Source organism: Homo sapiens, chromosome 15 (genome assembly GCF_000001405.40).
Source record: "Homo sapiens chromosome 15, GRCh38.p14 Primary Assembly".
Lineage (NCBI taxonomy): Eukaryota > Metazoa > Chordata > Mammalia > Primates > Hominidae > Homo > Homo sapiens.
The window spans coordinates 44188601-44207995 of record NC_000015.10 but is presented as its reverse complement, the minus strand read 5'-3'; the positions used below and the strand labels follow the sequence as shown (position 1 = coordinate 44207995).

At 42.3% G+C, this 19395-nt stretch overlaps 1 protein-coding gene across 11 annotated transcripts in view, besides 6 other annotated features; it reads left to right on the top strand.

The window, feature by feature from the left end:
- Positions 1 to 8522: 8522 nt before the first annotated feature.
- Positions 8523 to 19395, top strand: part of FRMD5 (FERM domain containing 5) — a 328710-nt gene continuing 317837 nt past the window's right edge. For 8 of the 11 annotated variants that reach the window (XR_931927.4, NR_104455.2, NM_001322951.2 and 5 more), the window contains exon 1: positions 12725 to 13043. Coding sequence is in view for 5 of the 11 variants with exons in the window: in NM_001322951.2 (NP_001309880.1) it covers positions 12942 to 13043 (102 nt within the window). In the remaining 6 variants the exon portion in view is untranslated. Of the gene's footprint in view, positions 8542 to 12724; positions 13044 to 13549; positions 13770 to 19395 lie in introns of those variants that run through there. The other 3 variants (XM_047433193.1, NM_001286490.2, XM_047433194.1) reach the window with 2 other exon arrangements.
- Positions 10705 to 10940: a silencer, noted in NCBI's record as "fragment chr15:44489254-44489489 (GRCh37/hg19 assembly coordinates)". NCBI's record gives its function as "represses an EF-1alpha promoter that drives an FKBP-Casp9 reporter gene in an ReSE screen in HepG2 liver carcinoma cells {active_cell/tissue: HepG2}" and the evidence as "EXISTENCE:reporter gene assay evidence [ECO:0000049][PMID:32094911]".
- Positions 11840 to 12339: an enhancer, noted in NCBI's record as "H3K4me1 hESC enhancer chr15:44487855-44488354 (GRCh37/hg19 assembly coordinates)". NCBI's record gives its function as "activates a minimal SCP1, AML or CMV promoter by ChIP-STARR-seq in naive and primed H9 embryonic stem cells {active_cell/tissue: H9 hESC(naive and primed)}" and the evidence as "EXISTENCE:reporter gene assay evidence [ECO:0000049][PMID:30033119]".
- Positions 12225 to 12324: an enhancer, noted in NCBI's record as "active region_9334". NCBI's record gives its function as "activates an Ori minimal core promoter by ATAC-STARR-seq in GM12878 lymphoblastoid cells {active_cell/tissue: GM12878}" and the evidence as "EXISTENCE:reporter gene assay evidence [ECO:0000049][PMID:35858748]".
- Positions 12340 to 12841: an enhancer, noted in NCBI's record as "H3K4me1 hESC enhancer chr15:44487353-44487854 (GRCh37/hg19 assembly coordinates)". NCBI's record gives its function as "activates a minimal SCP1, AML or CMV promoter by ChIP-STARR-seq in naive and primed H9 embryonic stem cells {active_cell/tissue: H9 hESC(naive and primed)}" and the evidence as "EXISTENCE:reporter gene assay evidence [ECO:0000049][PMID:30033119]".
- Positions 13175 to 13224: a silencer, noted in NCBI's record as "silent region_6393". NCBI's record gives its function as "represses an Ori minimal core promoter by ATAC-STARR-seq in GM12878 lymphoblastoid cells {active_cell/tissue: GM12878}" and the evidence as "EXISTENCE:reporter gene assay evidence [ECO:0000049][PMID:35858748]".
- Positions 13335 to 13394: a silencer, noted in NCBI's record as "silent region_6392". NCBI's record gives its function as "represses an Ori minimal core promoter by ATAC-STARR-seq in GM12878 lymphoblastoid cells {active_cell/tissue: GM12878}" and the evidence as "EXISTENCE:reporter gene assay evidence [ECO:0000049][PMID:35858748]".

Sequence of the window (19395 nt, the reverse complement as noted above, 5' to 3'; positions counted from 1 at the left end):
GATTATTTTCTAGACTAGCTTCACAGCTGTTATTCTGGGATCAAACCTCACAATTATTCTGAGAATTTACATTACCTCTTTCTGTGTTAGATCCTGTTTCCAGGATGCCATGTGTATTAGTCAGCTTTTGATACTTTTTTTTTTCAGGAATGACTCCAAAATATGAGTAGCTTACAACAAAAAAGATTTATTTCTCACTTTCATTAGACATCCTCTGTGGGTTGGCTGTGTCGTCTACTCCGTGTTGGCTTCTTCCCAGGACCCAGGAGCAAGCTCCATCTGGGCCATGCCAGTCTTTTGGGAAAGAAAAGATCAATAATATACATGTTTTCACTTACATTCTATTGTTCAAACCAAATCAGTGGTCAAGTTTAATGCCAGTAGGGTAGGTAGAAATGGAGACGACAGTGAATATTTGAAGACATAACACAATCTTTTATTTTATTTTATTTTTGTGAGACAGAGTCTCGCTCTGTCACCTAGGGTAGGGTACAGTGGCGTGATCTTGGCTCACTGCAGCCTTGAGCTCCCCAGCTCAAGTGATCCTTCCCCTTCAGCCTCCCGAGTAGCTGGGACTACAGGTGTGCACCACACCACACCCAGATAATTTTTGTATTTTTTGTAGAGATGGGTTTTTGCCATATTGCCCTTGCTGGTCTTGAACTTTCGAGCTCAAGTGATCCTCCCACTTTTTCCTCCCAAAGTGTTGGGATTACAGGCGACATAATACATAATCTACCATGTATTCTTATTTCATTTTTTTTTTTTTTTTTGAGACGGAGTCTCACTGTCACCCAGGCTGGAGTGCAGTGGTGCGATCTCGGCTTACTGCAAGCTCAACCTCCCGGGTTCACGCCATTCTCCTGCCTCAGCCTCCGGAGTAGCTGGGACTACAGGCGCCTGCCACCACGCCTGGCTAATTTTTTGTATTTTTAGTAGAGACGGGGTTTCACAGTGTTAGCCAGGATGGTCTCGATCTCCTGACCTCGTGATCTGCCCGCCTTGGCCTCCCAAAGTGCTGGGATTACAGGCGTGAGCCACAGTGCCCGGCTCTTATTTCTTATATCTTTGTTTGCTCTGACATTTTTGGGGAGCCCATCCCTCAAAAGCTTCCTGAAGAAGGGTATATATGAGTATAAGATATTAGATATTGAGTTCATACATGTCTAAAAGTGTCTTTTTACTCAAGAGTAGTGTATTTGGGTATAGAATTCTATATTGGAAATAATTTTCCTCAGAATCTGTAAATGCTGTTCTACTATTTTCTTGATTCCAATGTTGCTGTTGAGAAGTTCAATGTAATTCTAATACTGTTTGTAACTTTTTTTTTCCTTTTCTGGAGGCTTACTTTTGTTCCTAGTGTTCTAACATTTCATAGTAGTATGTTATGGTGTGGATTTGTTTCTATCCATTGTGCTGGACAGTTGGTACCCACTCTAAATTTGGAAATTCATGTCCTTAATTATGGGAAATTTTCTTGAATTATGCCTTTGATAATTTTTTGCCCTCCATTTTTCCCATTTTTTTTTTTAATACAGGATCTTGCTCTATCACCCACATGCTTGAGTGCAGTGGCATGATCCCAGCTCACTGCAGCCTTGACCTCCTGTGCTCAAGTGATCCTCCCACCTCAGCCTCCTGAGTAGTTGGGACTACAGGCACCTCCCACCACACCTGGCTAATTTAAAAATTTTTATTTTGTAAAGACAGGGTCTCACTATGTTGCCCAGGCTGGTTTCAGATTCCTGAGTTCAAGCCATTCTCCCATCTTAGCCTCTCAAAGTGCTGGCTGGGATTACAGACGTGAGCCACCGTATCTGGCACTCTCCCCCTATTTCTATTTCTATTTAGTTTTATTTTTCACCTATCCTATTTTATTTTACATTTGCACATGTTATTTTTAATTCTCAGAATGCTTTTTTCCCCTCTTTTTCTAAATGGCATCCCAGACTTATTTACTGGATGCAAGATCTTCTATCTCTATTAGGATATTTACTAATAATTTCCATTTTGAAATTTTTCTTTTTCCTACTTAGTTTTTCTGTCCTCCAAGTTGCCTGTTTTCCTTTTGTTTTAGTCTCTATATTTTATGTTAGAGATATTTCTTAAATTTCTGGCGACCCCATTCTGGTTCAGAAATTCTGTTTTAGTCTCTCCAGAGAATTACCCTTCACTTTTCTGATAGGGTGAAGAAAAGAAGTCTCTTGGCTGCACAGAGTCAGAGAAGGGAATTGCTTCTTAAATTGACTTTCTAACAATCCTCCTGTTTTCAGTTCTACCTTCATTTCCAAAAGAACTGGGTAAATCAATTTCTAAATATTTTGTGCATTCTACAGTGCAGATCAGGTTGCTTCTCAGCTTTGCCCTGCTAGTTTTGGATTCAGCTTTCTTGGGTTTGCTCAGTCAATTATTCCTCATCCATATGCTTTCTGGATTCCAAAATGTTGTTGTTGTGGCTTCTTTCCATTAAATTGGTCTTTTAGGTTTATGCCTTTTATTTATTTCTTCTTTTTTTTTTTTTTTTTTTTTTTTAGACAGAGTCTCGCTCTGTCACCCAGGCTGGAGTGCAGTGGCGCGATCTCAGCTCACTGCAAGCTCCACATCTCGGGTTCACACCATTCTCCTGCCTCAGCCTCCAGAGTAGCTGGGACTACAGGTGCCCGCCACCACGCGCAGCTAATTTTTTGTATTTTTAGTAGAGAAGGGGTTTCACCGTGTTGGCCAGGGTGGTCTCAATCTCCTGACCTCGTGATCCGCCTGCCTCGGCCTCCCAAAGTGCTGGGATTACAGGTGTAAGACACCTCGCCCGGCCTTATTCCTTCCTTCCCTTCCTTCCCTTCCTACCTTCCTTCCCTTCCCTTCCCTTCCCTTCCCTTCCCTCCCCTCCCCTCCCCTTCCCTTCTCCTTCCTTCCTTCCTTCCTTCCTTCCTTCCTTCCTTCCTTCCTTCCTTCCTTCCCTCCCTCCCTTCCTTCCTTTTTTTTCGAGACAGGGTCTCACTTTCTCACCCAGGCTGGAGTGCAGTGGCACGATCTTTCTTTGCAACCTCCACCTCCCAGTCTCAAGGGATCCTCCTGCCTCAGCCCCTCAAGTAGTTGGGACTACAGGTGTGCACCATCAGGTGCTTATTTTTGTATTTTTGGTAGAAATGTGGTTTTGCCACATTGCCCAACCTGGTCTCAAACGCCTGAGCTCAAGGGATCCACCTGCCTCAGCCTTCCATAGTACTAGGATTATAGGCATGAGCCACCTCACCTGGCCTGGTTAAAGCCTTTTAGACATCACTTTACTGTTGCTTCAGTGGTTCGGTGTGACAGCAGAGGTAAATACGTGTGTTTAACCTGCCATTTTTAAGCAAAAGTCTTATGATTCTCAAAACAACCAGAGAAGGCATTCTAATCCCCATTTTACAAATGAGAAACAGAATTTAAATGACTTGCCAAGATTACATGGCATAGAATGTTAGAGCTGGGGCTTGTATTCAGGACTTGTGACTCCACATTCAACGCTCTTTCCACTAAATTCCTGAAAACGAAAGCTGTGTAATGTAGTTGTTAAAAACACAGTGTTTGGCACCAGACACTTGGATATGAGTCCAGGTCTTGCCTCTTGATAGCTGTGTTCTTTCAACAAGTTATTTAGTCTCATTGCACTGAAAGTTCCTCATCTATAAAATGCGGATGATAACAATAGCACAATCTAACAACACTATTATGAGAATTCAATTAGATAATATATGTAAAGTACTCACCATAGTCTCTGGCATATAGTGAATGCTCCCTTATTACTATAATGGAAAAAGTGAAATGATAAGGTGTAATCATGATTTGCAATTTTAATTAATTGAACTATGTCCAGAGAACCTTTGAAATTAATTCTGCAGACATTTACTGAATAATTAGCATGTGCATTGTGGAATGTTTATTCTTCCTTTCTCCTCTGTTTGAACCTCTTTATGAAAATATCTTTGATTTGCAACTGCTTCAAGCCCAGCTGAGCTCAGCTAAGTAACTTCTGAGTAAGGATAGAAGAATTAGATAAAGTCACAGATTTTTCTGTGCACCAATAGCTAATGAAATGAACAACAAAAATACATTGATAAAGTTCAAACAGCAGCTACAACAAGGTAAAGGGGAAAACCTTACATATAAGTGAAATGTTAAAAAAAAAAAAAAAAAAAAAGCCAGGATGCCTCACGCTTGTAATTCCAACACTTTGGGAAGCCTAAGCAGGTAGATTACATGAGGCCATAAGTTCGAGACCAGCCTGGCCAACATGGTGAAACCCTATCTCTATTAAAAATACAAAAAGTAGCTAAGTGTGGTGGCTCACGCCTGTAATCTCAGCTACTAGGGAGGCTGAGGCATGAGACTCGCTTGAGCCCAGGAGGCGGAGGTTGCAGTAAGCCAAGATTGCCACTGTACTCCAGCCTGGATGACGGAGTGAGACTCTGTCTCAACAAAAAAGGTGGGGAGACAATAAAAGAAACAGAATATTCTGGTGCAGTAAGGTGTGGCTACTCACCTTGCCTCTATTCTTTAGAAGCCTGTAGTCCTTGCTACTCAGGAGGCTGAGGTAGGAGGGTTGCTTGAGGCCCAGAGTTCAAGACCAGCCTGGATCAACAAAGCGAGACCCCCCACCGTCTCTAAAAAAAAAAAAATTAAAAAATTAGCTGAGTGTGGTGACATGCACTGTAGTCCCAGCCAATTGGGAGGCAGAGGTGGGAGGATCACTTGAGCCCAGGAGGTTGAGGCTGCAGCGAGCCATGCTTGCACCACCGCACTCTAGCCTGGGCAACAGAACAAGACCCTGTCTCAAAAAACAACAAACAATAGCAACAACAGCAACAAAAACCCCAAAAAACTATGCGTTGATTTCAAAACTTTCTTGCAAGAAAATAAACTTATAATAACTTTTATAACATGTTGAACAGGATCTAGTTTGAAGCACTAAAAAGGATAAGACAGAAGTTTGAAAAGAGCTCCTATCAGAGCAACATTAATTGTGCTAAAATTGAACTAAGAACAAACATCAAACTTATGGTGGAAGCTTGAGTGGAGGAATGGTGAAATCACTGATGCTTTATGAAAAGTTTATGGGGAAAATATCCCAAAGAAATCAGCAATTTGCAAATGGATAACTCATTTTAAGAAGGGACACGATGATGTTGACAATGGAGCCCACAGAGGCAGGCCATCAACATCAATTTGTGAGGAAAAAAATTAATCTTGTTCATGCCCTAATTGAGGAGGACCAATGATTAACAGCAGAAACAATAGCCAACACCACAGACCTCTCAAATTATTCAGTTTATACAATTCTGACTAAAAAATTAAACTTGAGCAAACTCTCCACTTGAGGGGTCCCAAAACCATTACATCCAGATCAACTGAAGACAAGAGCAGAGCTTTCAAAGGCAATTTTAAATAAGTGGGATCAAGATCCTGAAGCATTTCTTCAAAGAATTGTATCAGAAAATGAAACATGGCTCTACCAGTTTACCATGGCTTTACCAGATTGTGCTGAAGACAAAAACACAATCAAAGCAATGGCTACCAAGAGGTGGAAACGGTTCAGTCCAAGCAAAAGTGGACCAGTCAAGAGCAAAGGTCATGGCAACAGTTTTTTTTGGGATTCTCAAAGCATTTTGCTTGTTGATTTTCTGAAGGGCCAAAGAACCATAACATCTACTTGTTATGAGAGTGTTTTGAGAAAGTTAGTCAAAGCTTTAGTGAAAAAAAAAAAAAAGCCTGGGAAAGCTTCACCAGAGATTCCTCCTCCACCATGACATATTCCTGCTGCTCATTCCTCTCATCAGACAAGGGCAATTTTGTGAGAGTTTTGATGGGAAATCACTAGGCATCCACCTTACCATCCTTCTAACTTCTTTTTGTTTCCTAATATTAAAAAATCTTTAAAGGGCACACATTTTAATGTAAAAGACTGCATTGATATGGTTAAATTCCCAAGATGCTCAGTTCTTTAGGGATGGACTAAATGACTGATATCATCACTTACAAAAGTGCCTTGAACTTGATGGAGCTTATATTGAGAAAGTTTATATTTTTATGTTTATCTTTTAATTCCCTTTTGTCATAAATTTTTTGAAGTCCCCTTGTATGACTGACAAAAGCTATAAATTATAAACCCTGACAAAATAGAAATAATAGAAACCACAAGATTGGGAGTTGGAATACGGAGGTAGGAGGAAGTATACGAATACTAAATATCTTATTTCACAGAGCAAGTGGTCAACTGACACTTTTTCTGTTTTTTTTTTTTTTTTCAGATGGGGTCTCACTCTCTCACCTATGCTGGAGTGCAGTGGCACGATTTCGGCTCACTGCAACCTCCACCTTCCAGGTTCAAGTGATTCTCCTGCCTCAGCCTCCCAAGTAGCTGGGACTACAGGTGCGCACCATCACGCCTAGCTAATTCTTGTATTTTTAGTAGAGATGGGGTTTTGCCGTGTTGGCCAGGCTCGTCTTGAACTCCTGGTCTCAAGCAGTCCAGCGGCCTCAGCCTCCCAAAGTGCTGAGATTACAAGTGTGAGCCATGGTGCCTGGCCAAGAAATATGAGCTATTCTGATTTCTTCTTTATATATTTTCTTTGCTCACATTTTTTTGGGCTATTTCTCATATATTTCCTGCCTTTCCCCTTTATATCTTTTTTTAACCAATGTGTATTGAATGTCAATCTACATAAACTGATGATTTAATAAATGTTGAAGTAATTTTTCCAGTTGCATAAGACTGTAAGTTCTATGAGGATTGGAGATATGTTTTATTCATCTTTGAATTCTGTCAGCACATGGCATAGGGACTTGCACATAGTAGACCACCAATACTTTTTTTGAATAAATGAATTAATTTGCTTTGTTTCATTTATGTTTGTTGCTAGAATAATGGCTGAAAACTAGCTGGGAATATAAGAAAAATGAGCCGTAATTGGAGAATATAATAAAGCCTGTCACCCAAATCTGAGAGACCTGTTATAAATGCTTCTGATGCTTCATTAAAGATATTCTATTGTTTTCAGAATCCATTTTCCCCCAGCAAATAATTTCTTCATACTCTAATTTAATCCTTTACACTGCTATCAAAATTATCATTTTTAAACACAGATCTGATCTTGTCACTTCTCTATTTAAAAACCTCCAATGACAGCCTATTGACTATGAAACAGAGTTCAAACTCCTAACCATGGCAATCAAGGTCCTACATGACCTGGCTTCAGTCCATCTCTTTCTGGCCAAGGCACCTCACATGCTATCCATTCAGGGATACTTGCAGCTTCTAGAGCATGCTATACTCATGCTTATTTGGACCTCTGTGTCTTTGCTTATACAATTTCCTCTATTTAAATGTCACTCCTCATCCCATATCCATCTTTTCTGCCTTCTTCACAATCAAGAGCCTACTGTAGTCCTCAAGGCCCAACATAAATGCTTTCTCTGTAAGGCTTCACTGTCTCTCCTAATTAAGCCTACATAATTGTACCATTTGTTGTGCTCTTGTAGTACTTTGCTTATGCTCCATGTATTGTATTATAGCTAATTTACATACATCTAACACTCTCTCTTACATTGTGAAGAATTTTTTTCTTTATACACTTCTTGACTTATTTCCTTTTCCCATATCTGGGCTATGTCTTACATATTCTAGAACATTGTCACAGTGCCTAACACATACGCTCAATAAATGTTTGTAGTTTGGAATTTTAAAAAGCGTGTGTACTGCTTATATTTCCATATAAAAAAACCCACCTCTTCTAAGTGTAATGGGGGCTAACCAAAAGTCTAAAGGTTAGGTAGAAAAACTGTCTCTTAAACTGTATGTGGTTTTCTGTCCTGATAAATGGGAAAACTAGAGCATTTCTTCAAGAGAAGACTACTCTGGGAAAACTACATGAATTGTTTAGTTACTCATATTCAAACAAGTAGACACGTATTACTCTTAGAAAACTATAAAGCAACAATTAACCCGAATATAAATGCTTTAGACTGAGAAGCAGAGTGCTTCATTTGAATATGCAAATCTTTGTGTGTGGAGCAGAAGTACTGCTTCTGCAGACATTGATGTAGAAGAGAAGAACAGAAAATCTGTTTCTTTCCTCTGTGTGGATTTAGAGCATATATGTGTCAATGCATTATTATTTCTGTGGAGATGTGAATGTCCTTTTGAGCCCCTGCTCTTTAGATAGCAGAAGCTGAGACCTAATGAATATAGGAAAGCAAGGACAGGCATGATTTTCACTGCTCTACTGGAGAAATAATTATGCAAAGGGACAGGACTGGCTTTGACACGGCTTTACCTTGACCCACGTGTAAAGACTGAATAATTCAACCTTTGTGAGAAACATGCTGATGTTGACTATTGTGTTCTGATATGACAGCCCTGTTGAATCAGAGGTCAAGGTCATACCCTTGGGCATGCAGGGTGGGGTTTCCTCCAGAAGAGTAAATATTTCCATGGTTAGTCATTCTAGGAAGAGGTAGCACCTGGGACAGAAAATGGGACTTGGAAAGTGGACCCTAACCTAGGTAAGGAGAGTTGTTTTCTTCACAGTGATTGGGAGTAAATGCCTAAGACGTAGTCAGGGGAACTCTTGCTGGAGAGGGGAAGCTATCTTCAGCCACATGAACCAGAATGGAAGCCTGACAGTAAGGCCAGGCCTGTATCTAATCCATAGTCCATGAGGCTTTGAAAGTAGCTATGTCATACGTCCAAGTTACACTTCAGATTATTCTTTTTTTCCTAAATATTGTTAGGAGTTATAGCTTGGTCTTAGCTGTGTTGGGGGAAACTTTGATGGGAAGGGCCTGTGTTTGTCATGTCTTGGTGAAGAGAGGGCAGTACTCCTTCCTGCCAAAATCTAAAGAAATGGTGAAGGTTGCATTGGCTAAAGAGAGAGACCAGTGTCCCAGAACAGCAGGGTATAGAATATCTGAAGCAGAGACACGAAATGCTTTGTTTAGTTTTTTCAGGCATACGTGGGGGATAGTACCTCCCCTGGGGACTCCCTCATAGTAGAGAAGGAAAAGAAATTCAAAAGACGGCTGATATTCTGATAATTTGGAAGGTGGGGGTTCAGAGCCATTATAATTTGGATTCTTATTTTTAAATGTGGCCTCCTTTATACTTAAAGACACATGAAAGCTATGGCACGCTGGTTCTCAAGGGCAAATAAGGCCTTTTATTAAATAAGCCCTTTCCATTCTGGGCATCCTAGTTAATAGATTTGAGGAAAACAAAGATAAACAAAATATTTCTGTTTGGTTTTACTTTTTATTTTATTTGGAGACAAGGTCTTGCTCTGTTGTCCAGGCTGGAGTGCAGTGATGCAGTCATAGCTCCTGGCTCAATTGATTCTTCTGCCCAGTCTCCCAAAATTCAGTTTGGTTTTATATGAGCCCTTCCTTTCTAGTTCTCCTTATGCTTCTTCTCATGAGCTTTTTTGTGGAGACATACATCTAGATTCTTGCTTTTCTTCCATTATTTTTTCATTCTCTGTATTCCTCACAAAGTGTTTTGTATCAGAGAAGAAGGGAGAGTTTGAAGTTCTCTCTGGATATTACACCTAAGCATGAATGAATATCTAACTGGTCTTTCGGTGAGGTGAGCATCTAAGCAGATGTGATTTTTTTTAATTCCTTTTTTTTTTTTTTTTTGAGACAGGATCTGGCTCTGTTGCCCAGGCTGGAGTGCAGTGGTGTGATCTTGGCTCACAGCAACCTTCCCCTCCCCCTAGGCTCAAGCAATCCTCCCACCTCAGCCTCCCCAGCAGCTGGGACTACAGGTGTGTGCCACCACACCCAGCTAATCTTTGTATTATTATTATTATTATTATTGTAGCTATGGGGTTTCACCATGTTGCCTAGGTGGGTCTTGAAATCCTGAGCTCAAGCGATCTGCCTGCCTTGGCTTCCCAAATGTTGGGATTATAGGCATGAGCCACTGCACCCAGCCTCAGACATGATTTTCTCAGACTGAGCAAGGATTCTACTTAACACATTGACATAGGAAATACAGTCTCACCTCTGTTGATTGCAACTATGGCCATACTTCGAAAAAAGACTGCATTCAGTTCCTTAGAGCTTTTCTGGATTCATAGTGCTTTGCCTTTTCATTCTAACAGCTGCTTATTTGGATAACCTGTTAAAAACACTTTCCTACCATCACACTTATGGACTTCCTCTAGCTTGGACATTTTTTCTTGCTCTTGTTGATTCTATAACAAACAGTAACTTTTGCCTTCAACAAAAGCTCTTTCAGTTTGAATTTTTTTTCCTTTCTTTCTTTTTTTTTTTTTTTTTTTTGAGATGGAGTCTCGCTGTCTCCCAGGCTGGAGTGCAGTGGCCAATCTCAGCTCACTGCAACCTTCGCCTCCCAGGTTCAAGCAAATCTCCTGCCTCAGCCTCCTGAGTAGCTGAGACTACAGACACATGCCACCATGCCCGGCTCATTTTTGTATTTTCAGTAGAGACAGGGTTTCACCATGATGGCCAGGCTGGTCTTGAACTCCTGACCTCGTGATCCACCCACCTCGGCCTCCTAAAGTACTGGGATTACAGGTGTGAGCCACTGCGCCCAGCCTGAAATATTTCATTATCTTCTTACAGCTACATAACAAAGCTGAGCTTTGTAGAATATCACTTTGGCATATTAATAATTTTACTTGTCTCCAAGATCTTCCTGAAATTTTGAGTTTCTTCACAGGTCTTCTTCCTCTGGGATTTAAGTGCTGTAGAACACCTGTCAATTCCATTTACTTCAGTTCATCAATTTTTTTTTTTTTAGACCGAGTCTTGCTCTGTTGCCCAGGCTGGAGTGCAGTGGCACAATCTCAGCTCACTGCAATCTCTACCTCCCGGGTTCCAGCGATTCTCCTGCCTCAGCCTCCCCAGTAGCTGGGACCACGGGCGCATGCCACCACACCCGGCTAATTTTTGTATTCAGTTCAACACTTATTGAATACCTATTATGTTTCAGGCATCAGACTACCTGCTGAAGCTACAAAGTAGTGGAGCGCATGCCTGGTTTTATGCCTGGAACACTTGACTTACTAGTTCTAGACTCATAACTAACTCCATCCAAATTGCATTGAAAAGAGAATCCTGCTCCTATGGCTATTAAATGCCACAAAGGAGAATGCAACCAATTAAGAGCAGTCCAGGTTACTAAGGTGATAGAAAGAAAAAGGGGGAGGGAGAGGGGGAGGAAGAGAGAGAGAGAGAGAGAGAGAAAGAGAGAGAGAGAGAGAGAATGAAAGAGAATGAATCTCCCCATGCAAAAAAAAAAAAAAAAATTGGGGAAAATATTGGAATCCAAAGACACTAGGGAAGAAGCATACTTTAAAGGCGGGATAGTTTTCTAGGCTAATGTAGAGTTTCATTTTTGTTACACATTATACCTATAAACAAGAACAGTGCAAATGAAAGTAATAGGAAATTATGCCTATTTCATTATTTTAAATTAATATATTTATTACAGCATTAATGTTCTATGTTGACACGATTATTTTTTTTTTTTGAGACGGTGGCTTGCTCTTGTCCCCCAGGCTGGAGTGCAATGGCCGTGATCTTGGTTCACTGCAACCTCTGCCTCCTGGGTTCAAGCGATTCTCCTGCCTCAGCCTCCCGAGTAGCTGGGATTACAGGTGCGTGCTACCATGCACGGCTAATTTTTTTGTATTTTTAGTAGAGACGGGGATTCACCATGTTGGTCAGGCTGGTTTCGAACTCCTGACATCAGGTGATCCGCCCGCCTCGGCCTCCCAAAGTGCTGGGATTACAGGCTTGAGCCACTGCGCCCGGCCGACATAATTATTTTATAACATTTCCTCACATCAAAAATCTTTGAGGGAGAATATCTCTTATTGAAGTTCTGGTAAAAAACCTTGAAGTCTGTAAATTTGGGGTGACAAAGAGAAGGAGACAATTCTTTGTGATGTATACCTCCTGACATACTATGTTGTTCTATTGAGAAAGTCTGAAGACATAATTTCCAGTTCTAAAAGTGCAAGGAGAAGATTCATTGCTTCCTCTGCTCCCTACCAGCTGAAGGAGCAGTCTCCTTTTGTCTTCTGAAATAAAAAGGAGGCAAAGGGTGTTAGAGTGGAGGGTTTTTTAGGGGATTAAACCTGGGTACTTCAGAACCTCTGAGGTCCCTTTAGCTTTTATTTAAGTAGCTCCTGTTTCCCAAAATAAGAGGGCTGGAGCACAGAGGCCAGACGGGCCAACTTAGGGTACAGCACAGGTCGGGGGCAGTCGCCCTATCTGGAGCGAGAGGTATCCGCATTCTGCAGGTGCAGGGACTGTGATCCAGCACCCTGCCGCCTCCTCGCTCCGGCTCCCAAGAGGGCGGGAACCGCGGTGTTGCAGGGTGCGAGGCTTGGCTTCGGAAACGCAGATCAAGTGTATTTCAGGCGGCAGACATCAATCCAGTTGGGTGCTCACACCTGGCCCGGGGGAGGGGAAACAGCATCCATAGGAACCACGGGGCGGAGAGGAACCCCTCGTTTGGGACGCTAGAGGGCTGCTCCGGCTTGACTAGGTCCGACTGCTTTTCTGTGATTGCTTCTTTATCCCGCCCATCATCCCAGTACTCTATCTCGATTGGCTTTTCGGTCTGCCACTCGGTTCCGCCGCGCTGACCCCCATTGGCCCCCTCCAGTTGAGGCCCCGCCCCGCGAGCTGGGCACGGGCACTGGGGCGCCGAGGAGACAGAGCCCGGCGCTTGATCTGGGCTGGGGGGAGGCGGTGGCGGCTGAGGGAAGGAGGAGGATAAGGAGGAGGAACGAGGCCAGCAGGAGGCAACGGCAGCGACGGGGCCGGGGTGATGGTGCAGGTGCCTGGGGTCGGTGCGGAGCTGCCGGGCTGAGGGACGCCTGGTCCAGGGTCCGCAGCGCCGCCGCGTCGCTCCCGGGCGGGCGGGCGGGAAGATGCTGAGCAGGTTGATGAGCGGCAGCAGCAGGAGCCTGGAGCGCGAGTACAGCTGCACCGTGCGGCTGCTGGACGACAGCGAGTACACCTGCACCATCCAGGTCAGCGCCGCGCCGCCCCGCCCCGCCCGCGGGACCCCCTTGTCCCCCAAGTCTGGTCAACTTGGCCGGCGGCGGCCGCCGCCCAGGGGTCGCCCCAGCCCCAGCGCCGTGCTTTGTCCGTTCCTGGTTGCGGCGGACCGCCCTAGTGCAGGGCGTCTTCACCGGAGCCCCTGCCGGAGCCCTGGCACCCGGTGTGTCACCGCCGCCGCGGGGCGAGTCTCCGCGTCCCACACCCCTAAGTCCTACCCTGCTCTCCCTGGGTGAGGGCGCCCCGTCCTGGTTCCTCGAGCCCGCCCGAGTAAGGTGCACCTTTCCGGGGCGCCCGGAGGGAGGCGGGTAGGGCGGTAGGCTCCTAGCCCGGCCGCCCCGTCGGGGGCGCAGGCTTTGGCTCTCTGCCCGGGCAAGGACGTATGGCTGGCTTTTCTTATCTTTCTTGGGTTGGAAGGATAATGGTTTATGTCATAATTCCTCCCCCCACCATTTGTGAGTCAGAGCTTTCAGAAGGTAGAACTGAACGCGCAGCCCATGCGGAGTGGCCTATTGAAGGAAGCCCAGTCCTCTGGGTTTTAGAGATTTAGGCCCCCTCCCGCCTTTTGATCCCCAAATTTTATTGTGTTGGGCGGTTCTAGGGGACGTGAGGTAAAGATTTAGCAACAAGTCCCAGCGATTTGGGGCTTGGAAGTGGCCAGGAAGAATCGGCGACTTAGGAAAAACGCCAACAATACGGTAATGCTCAACAGCATTTCTTTCAGAACCTGGTATTTTTGAAGGGATTTTTACAACCTCTTGCTCATGTTCCTTCGCTACTGCTGTGTGCACGTCAGGAGTAGTAGTCTTTCCCGGGAATGCAGTCACAGCCCTCTCTCCTCCCTTATGAAAAAGTCAGAGATTGAAAACATTGACAATGCTCCCGTGTTTAGTTCATCAGCCAGGAGGATCCTGCGCTCATCGCCGGAAGCTGCTCTTTGTGGAGAAGCTAATTGAGCTGGACCCAGAGGGGTCTCACCTGATCCTTTGCCTTTGCAGCAGGAAAACAGGAGGAGGCTTCTGGCTCAGATGTGACAGACAAAAACTGTCGGCCTGGGTCCTACCCTCAGTGTCTTCTTGCCCCCCGCCTCCTTATTTATTTATTTTTGCTGACAGTGCTCAATCGCGGAAAATAGCGGTGTGTGAGAAAGACACTGGGTAGTGTATGAGAGCAGCTGGTCTCTGCTGACTCCGTGCTCAGTTCAGCCTTCTCCTCACTTTCCCTTTTCTCCCTCCCCTCGAAACCAGCTCTGGGCATAAGTGCTGACTGCTGCCAAAGATCCATGAGGGTAGAGAAAGAGCACAAAATCTCTTTTTAAGGCTACTTAAATACAGACTAAGCAGTCATAAAGATGCTAGCCATCAAGTGAAAGGATTTTTGTAGTTGAATATGATAGAGAGATGCTCTGTATTATTTCCTTGCTGAATGAGTGGAATACTACTTTTTGTTCCTATTGTATCATTGTGCCATGTCCAGTTTTTTTTTGCTTTTTTTGTTTTGCTGGGGTATGAGAATACATTGAGTTGATATCTTCACCATTTGAGTATATTGTCTAGAGCTTTTTAAAAGTCTTTATCCTTTTGTTTTAAAATTTAAAGCATTTATCCAATAGCATATCAAGGGGAGTGTGAGATTTAGACTTTATAAGTCCTAAGAATACTTTTGGGGTATGTGAAATAATTTCCGAGGCAGGTCATTAACTTTTGCCAAGGTGTAGAATACAAATAAAACACAATTCACATCACCATTTCGCTAGAAATGATTGTTAACCTTGTGGTTTTAAAGTATTGCAGTGAGGCAAATAGTTATTTTTTTCCCAGTTAGTGGAACCTTTGAGGTTGCTTGATTGGTATTATAATTGTGGGTAGTTTTTATTACCATTTAGAAAAAAAATATTTTTGAGTTAAATAGGACTTATTGGATTTGTGCTTGCTATATCCCACTATAGCTGTACTTATTTTCCTACTGCTCTCATTTTACATTATTACAATTTAATTTTATAAAATATCTAGGCCACCTAAAAAATTAAGCTTGGTGTAATATGGCCACACTGTAGTAAGTGTCCACTGTCTAGACATGTTAATGATTGTGCATTGTGATTTTTGCATGGAATCTAAAGAACACAGGGATTGTTAAGTATATGTAATGTTGTCATTCTTTGGCATCACTTTGGCGAATTGCTTTTGTTTTTACCCATGTGAGGAAATGTAGCAAAAAGACAGTATCTTATATGAAATTAACATTTTCTGCATGTAGCTTTTTTGAACATTTAGAAATTGAGCTTTTCTTATCAGCTTTTCCCTTCATGCATTTCTGTAGTGAGTGTGTGTGTATATGTGCATGTGCTTATTTGTTAAATACTGGGCATAGGATCTTTTAAATCAGTATGGAAAGGATCTGTGAACTTCTTATTAGGTTAAGCAATATTCCCAACATTTTAGGCATTGTAGCACTGTATATTTTATGGTGATAATTTGAACTCATTTTCCTTAAAGTGTTGTATGCCATATTTTTGTTTAAATAAAGTATCTATTTTAGAATGATTTTACTGCCTTAGCATAATCAGAGACTACTTAGGATATTACAGAATCAGAAATGTATCACTGGGTTGGAGTCATGATAGTTCCATTTGGTAAATTTCAGTTATAAGAAATTCTGTCAAAGTATTTGTCTATCCTTTCATAATGCAGCATTTATTCCGATCTGGCATTTAGGATGTAATTATTAAGGTAATGAAAATGCCTTATATCTTTTCAATGAAGGTTGCCACAGTTACCAGACTATTCTTTCACTCTTTCTGATATGCAAATGTATTTGTAGACCATGAGAAATGAAAGTATACATAGGAGGGTTGTAGTATAATTGCTCCCCTGTGAAGAACATTGTTAACAGCTCCCTGCCAGTTTTGAAGGTCATTTCCTCGTAAATGCAGATCTGGTCTACTCATCTGTTTTTCATTCATCTGTTTCATTTATGGAGATACATATATATATATATATATAATATATATATATATATATATATATATATATTTACCACATTTATCAGCTTACTTTGTTATTTGGAGAAAATAGGGAAAATTAAAAAATGAAAAGATAACTAATATCTTTGAACTCAGTATACTGAAGGAGTCATTTACGTGCTTAGGCATGTAATATCCTAAGGAATTTTTATGTTTTTAAGAAACGGGATCTTGCTATGTTGCCTAGGCTGGACTTGAATTCCTGGGCTGAAGTGATTCTCTCGCCTCAGCCTCCCAAGTAGTTGGGACTACAGAAGTGCACCACCATGCCCTGCTTATAAGGAATAGATTATTTTATTATTATTATTATTATTTTTGAGGTGGAGTCTCGCTCTGTTGCCCAGGCTGAAGTGCAATGGCGCAATCTAAGCTCACTGCAACCTCTGCCTCCTGGGTTCAAGCGATTCTCCTGCCTCAACCTCCCGAGTAGCTGGTATTACAGGCACCCACCACCATGCCTGGCCAATTTTTGTATTTTTAGTAGAGACGAGGTTTCACCATGTTGGCCAGGATGGTCTCTATCTCTTGACCTCGTGATCCACCCGCCTCGCCTCCCAAAGTGCTGGGATTACAGGCATGAGCCACTGCACCCGGCCAGGAATAGATTTTGAACTATCTTTCAGCTTATAATAGTTTATAAATTATGAGAATATATATTGCAACATTTCTAATAGAAATATGTGTTGAAAAAATACCTATTTTCAAGTCAGAAATGTTAATCAGTTTTTTGTGATTACTGAAAGGTGAGCTACTCTAGAAATGAATTTGATTTTACTGAGAGACATATTAAAATAATGGATTAAGCAGCCAGGTTAAATTGTGCAGTTAAATAAGATACTACCATAAATAGAATGTGTGTGCAGGGGCATTTCCATAGTATAACCAATATTTGGATTTGATTGTGGCTCAACCACTTAGTAGCTGTGGTAGCTAGGGTGAGAGAGGGAGGGAGAGAACAAATGTATTGAGCCCTGTGCTTGCCAGGCACTCTAGAGTTTATAATAGATTAAGAGAAAGCTATAAATCATAAACCCTAAGAATTATCACATCTAGTTCGATGCCTTACATAGTTTTAATTCAATAAATATTTGTTCTAATTTGTTTGTGCTACATGATTGCTATGTTAACTTCACTTCAAATTTTCTTATTCCTGAAAACAATAAACAGTTCTAACACCTGTATAACTCTTTATAGTTTTAATCCATTCCATTACAAACCGTTTTGCTGTGTGACCCCTCTCCCGGGTGAGAAGTACAGTATGTTAGTGTGGTATTTATGAGGTCTTTGAGGTATTTATGAAGTCAATTTCTGCAATTATCCTTTGTTGAATTAGTGGAGTGCCAGTTGGTATAGCTCCTATGACTTTTTGGTTTGTCTCTTAGGATTTCAAAACTTTCAGGTCCCCCTGCCTCCATCTCTGCAAGTTTAGAGGGCTTAGATCAAATGAATACTGTGTGATGCAGTACTTCATGGAGTGTTAGAGTTCTGCCAGAATTAGGATTTTGGATGTAGGGATCACCATAGCTACAGAAGTTTCCTTCACACTTTTCCCCTTAGTACCCCATAAAAGAGGAGACAGACCTCCTCACAGCCTCATTTTCTCACCTCTTGCTCCAAGAGGAAGTGGACCATGCTTCCCATCCTGTTTCTAGTTATATCTATTTTAAGTTGAATTCACCTTTGATAGCCTCATCTATAACATCCTGTCTGACTCTGCGAGTTGCTCGTCTCTCAAATGTGTCTAGTTAAGGCTTGTACTAAAGAAGTGAATATCATGGAGGATTGGCAGCAACCTTATAGCTTCTGTTTCTCACTTCTGTAGTGCCCAGGAAGGACAGTGCTGCTTTCCTGGAGGCCAGGTGATGGTTGTTGCCCCTGTTTTCTGGTCTTGACTTTTTGGGGCTTAGGCCAACCACCTCAGTGGTTTTCTTATGCAGCTGGGAAATTTGAAGGGTACTAAAGCATCTCCATTCCCATGTTGCAGGGAGAATGGTGTTTCCCCTAAGACAGCAAATCGCCAATTCATATGTCTATCCTAGCAAATGAAGCAGGTCTTCCATTCCTTTTTAAGACCCTAGACCCTGGTGACCAATAAAACTCTTTGGACTTTTGGCTAGACATGGTGGCTCATGCCTGTAATCCTGGCAATTTGGTAGGCTGAGGTGGGAGGATCACTTGAGATCAGGAGTTTGAGACCAGCCTGGTCAACATGGTAAAACCCCCGTCTCTACTAAAAATACAAAAATTAGCCAGGTGTGTGCTGTTACATGCCTGTAATCCCAGCTGCTCGGGAGGCTGAGGCAGGAGAATTGCTTGAACCCGGGAGGTGGAGCTTGCAGTGAGCCGAGATAGCACCATTGCACTCCAGCCTGGGTGGCAGAGCAAGACTCTGTCCCAAAAAAAAAAAAAAAAGTCTTGACTTTTACAAGCACTGTAAATACAGGTAGAGCCAAAGATAAACCAGGGGGAACAGAGGGTCTAAGTTCACATACTCCCAACCTCCAGTTTCTCCATCAGGCTAAAACTGTCTCAGAGAAATTTAAATTATGGACCTTTTGCCTCCCAAGGTCAACATGTGATCTTCATTATTGTTGTCAACATTTTGACCAAGATAGGCCCCTATATTGGTCTTTCAACAGTTGTAATTGTTGTATTATTTCTAAAGATTGTGTTTTACTTTTGTGGTCTTACCAACTTTCTAGTATCATATCCTAGATTTGGGAGGCAGGAACTTGTAAAGACTCTTAGGTTCAAATTCCCCAGGCTTTTGCCTGCTACCGTTAGACTAAACACAAACTTGTGTGAATCAAGTTCTCTAAAGAGATCCTTCCGTGCCATGCTCATGAAGGCAAAATAATTGGGCCACATGCTTGGCAACCACTGAGTTTGTGTACAATAGCTCCATTCACTTGTCTACAGAAAACACCCCTTTGACAGTGATTATAGCTTTCAACCCCCCACCCTTCCACTTCTGACTCCCCGAATTACCATGACCTCATCTGCTGCTTCGTATTTAGAGGTGCTCTGGACCACTCCAGAAGTGCCTAGAACTCATTCCTGTGTGTTAAAGATCAGTTCAAAGCCTCAGACAACCACTGCCCACCAAGAAAAACCATTCAAAATCAGGACCAAATCTAGCTATTCTTATGCCTCATTTGAGTCATTTTACTATGTCACAATTCAGGGGCCCTTTTCCTTCAGTAGAAATTGTGAGGCCTCTCAAAGCATGGAAAATGAAATAAGGGATTGGATAAAGCAGTGGTTCTCAAAGTATGGCCCCTAGATAGGCATTATCCATATCA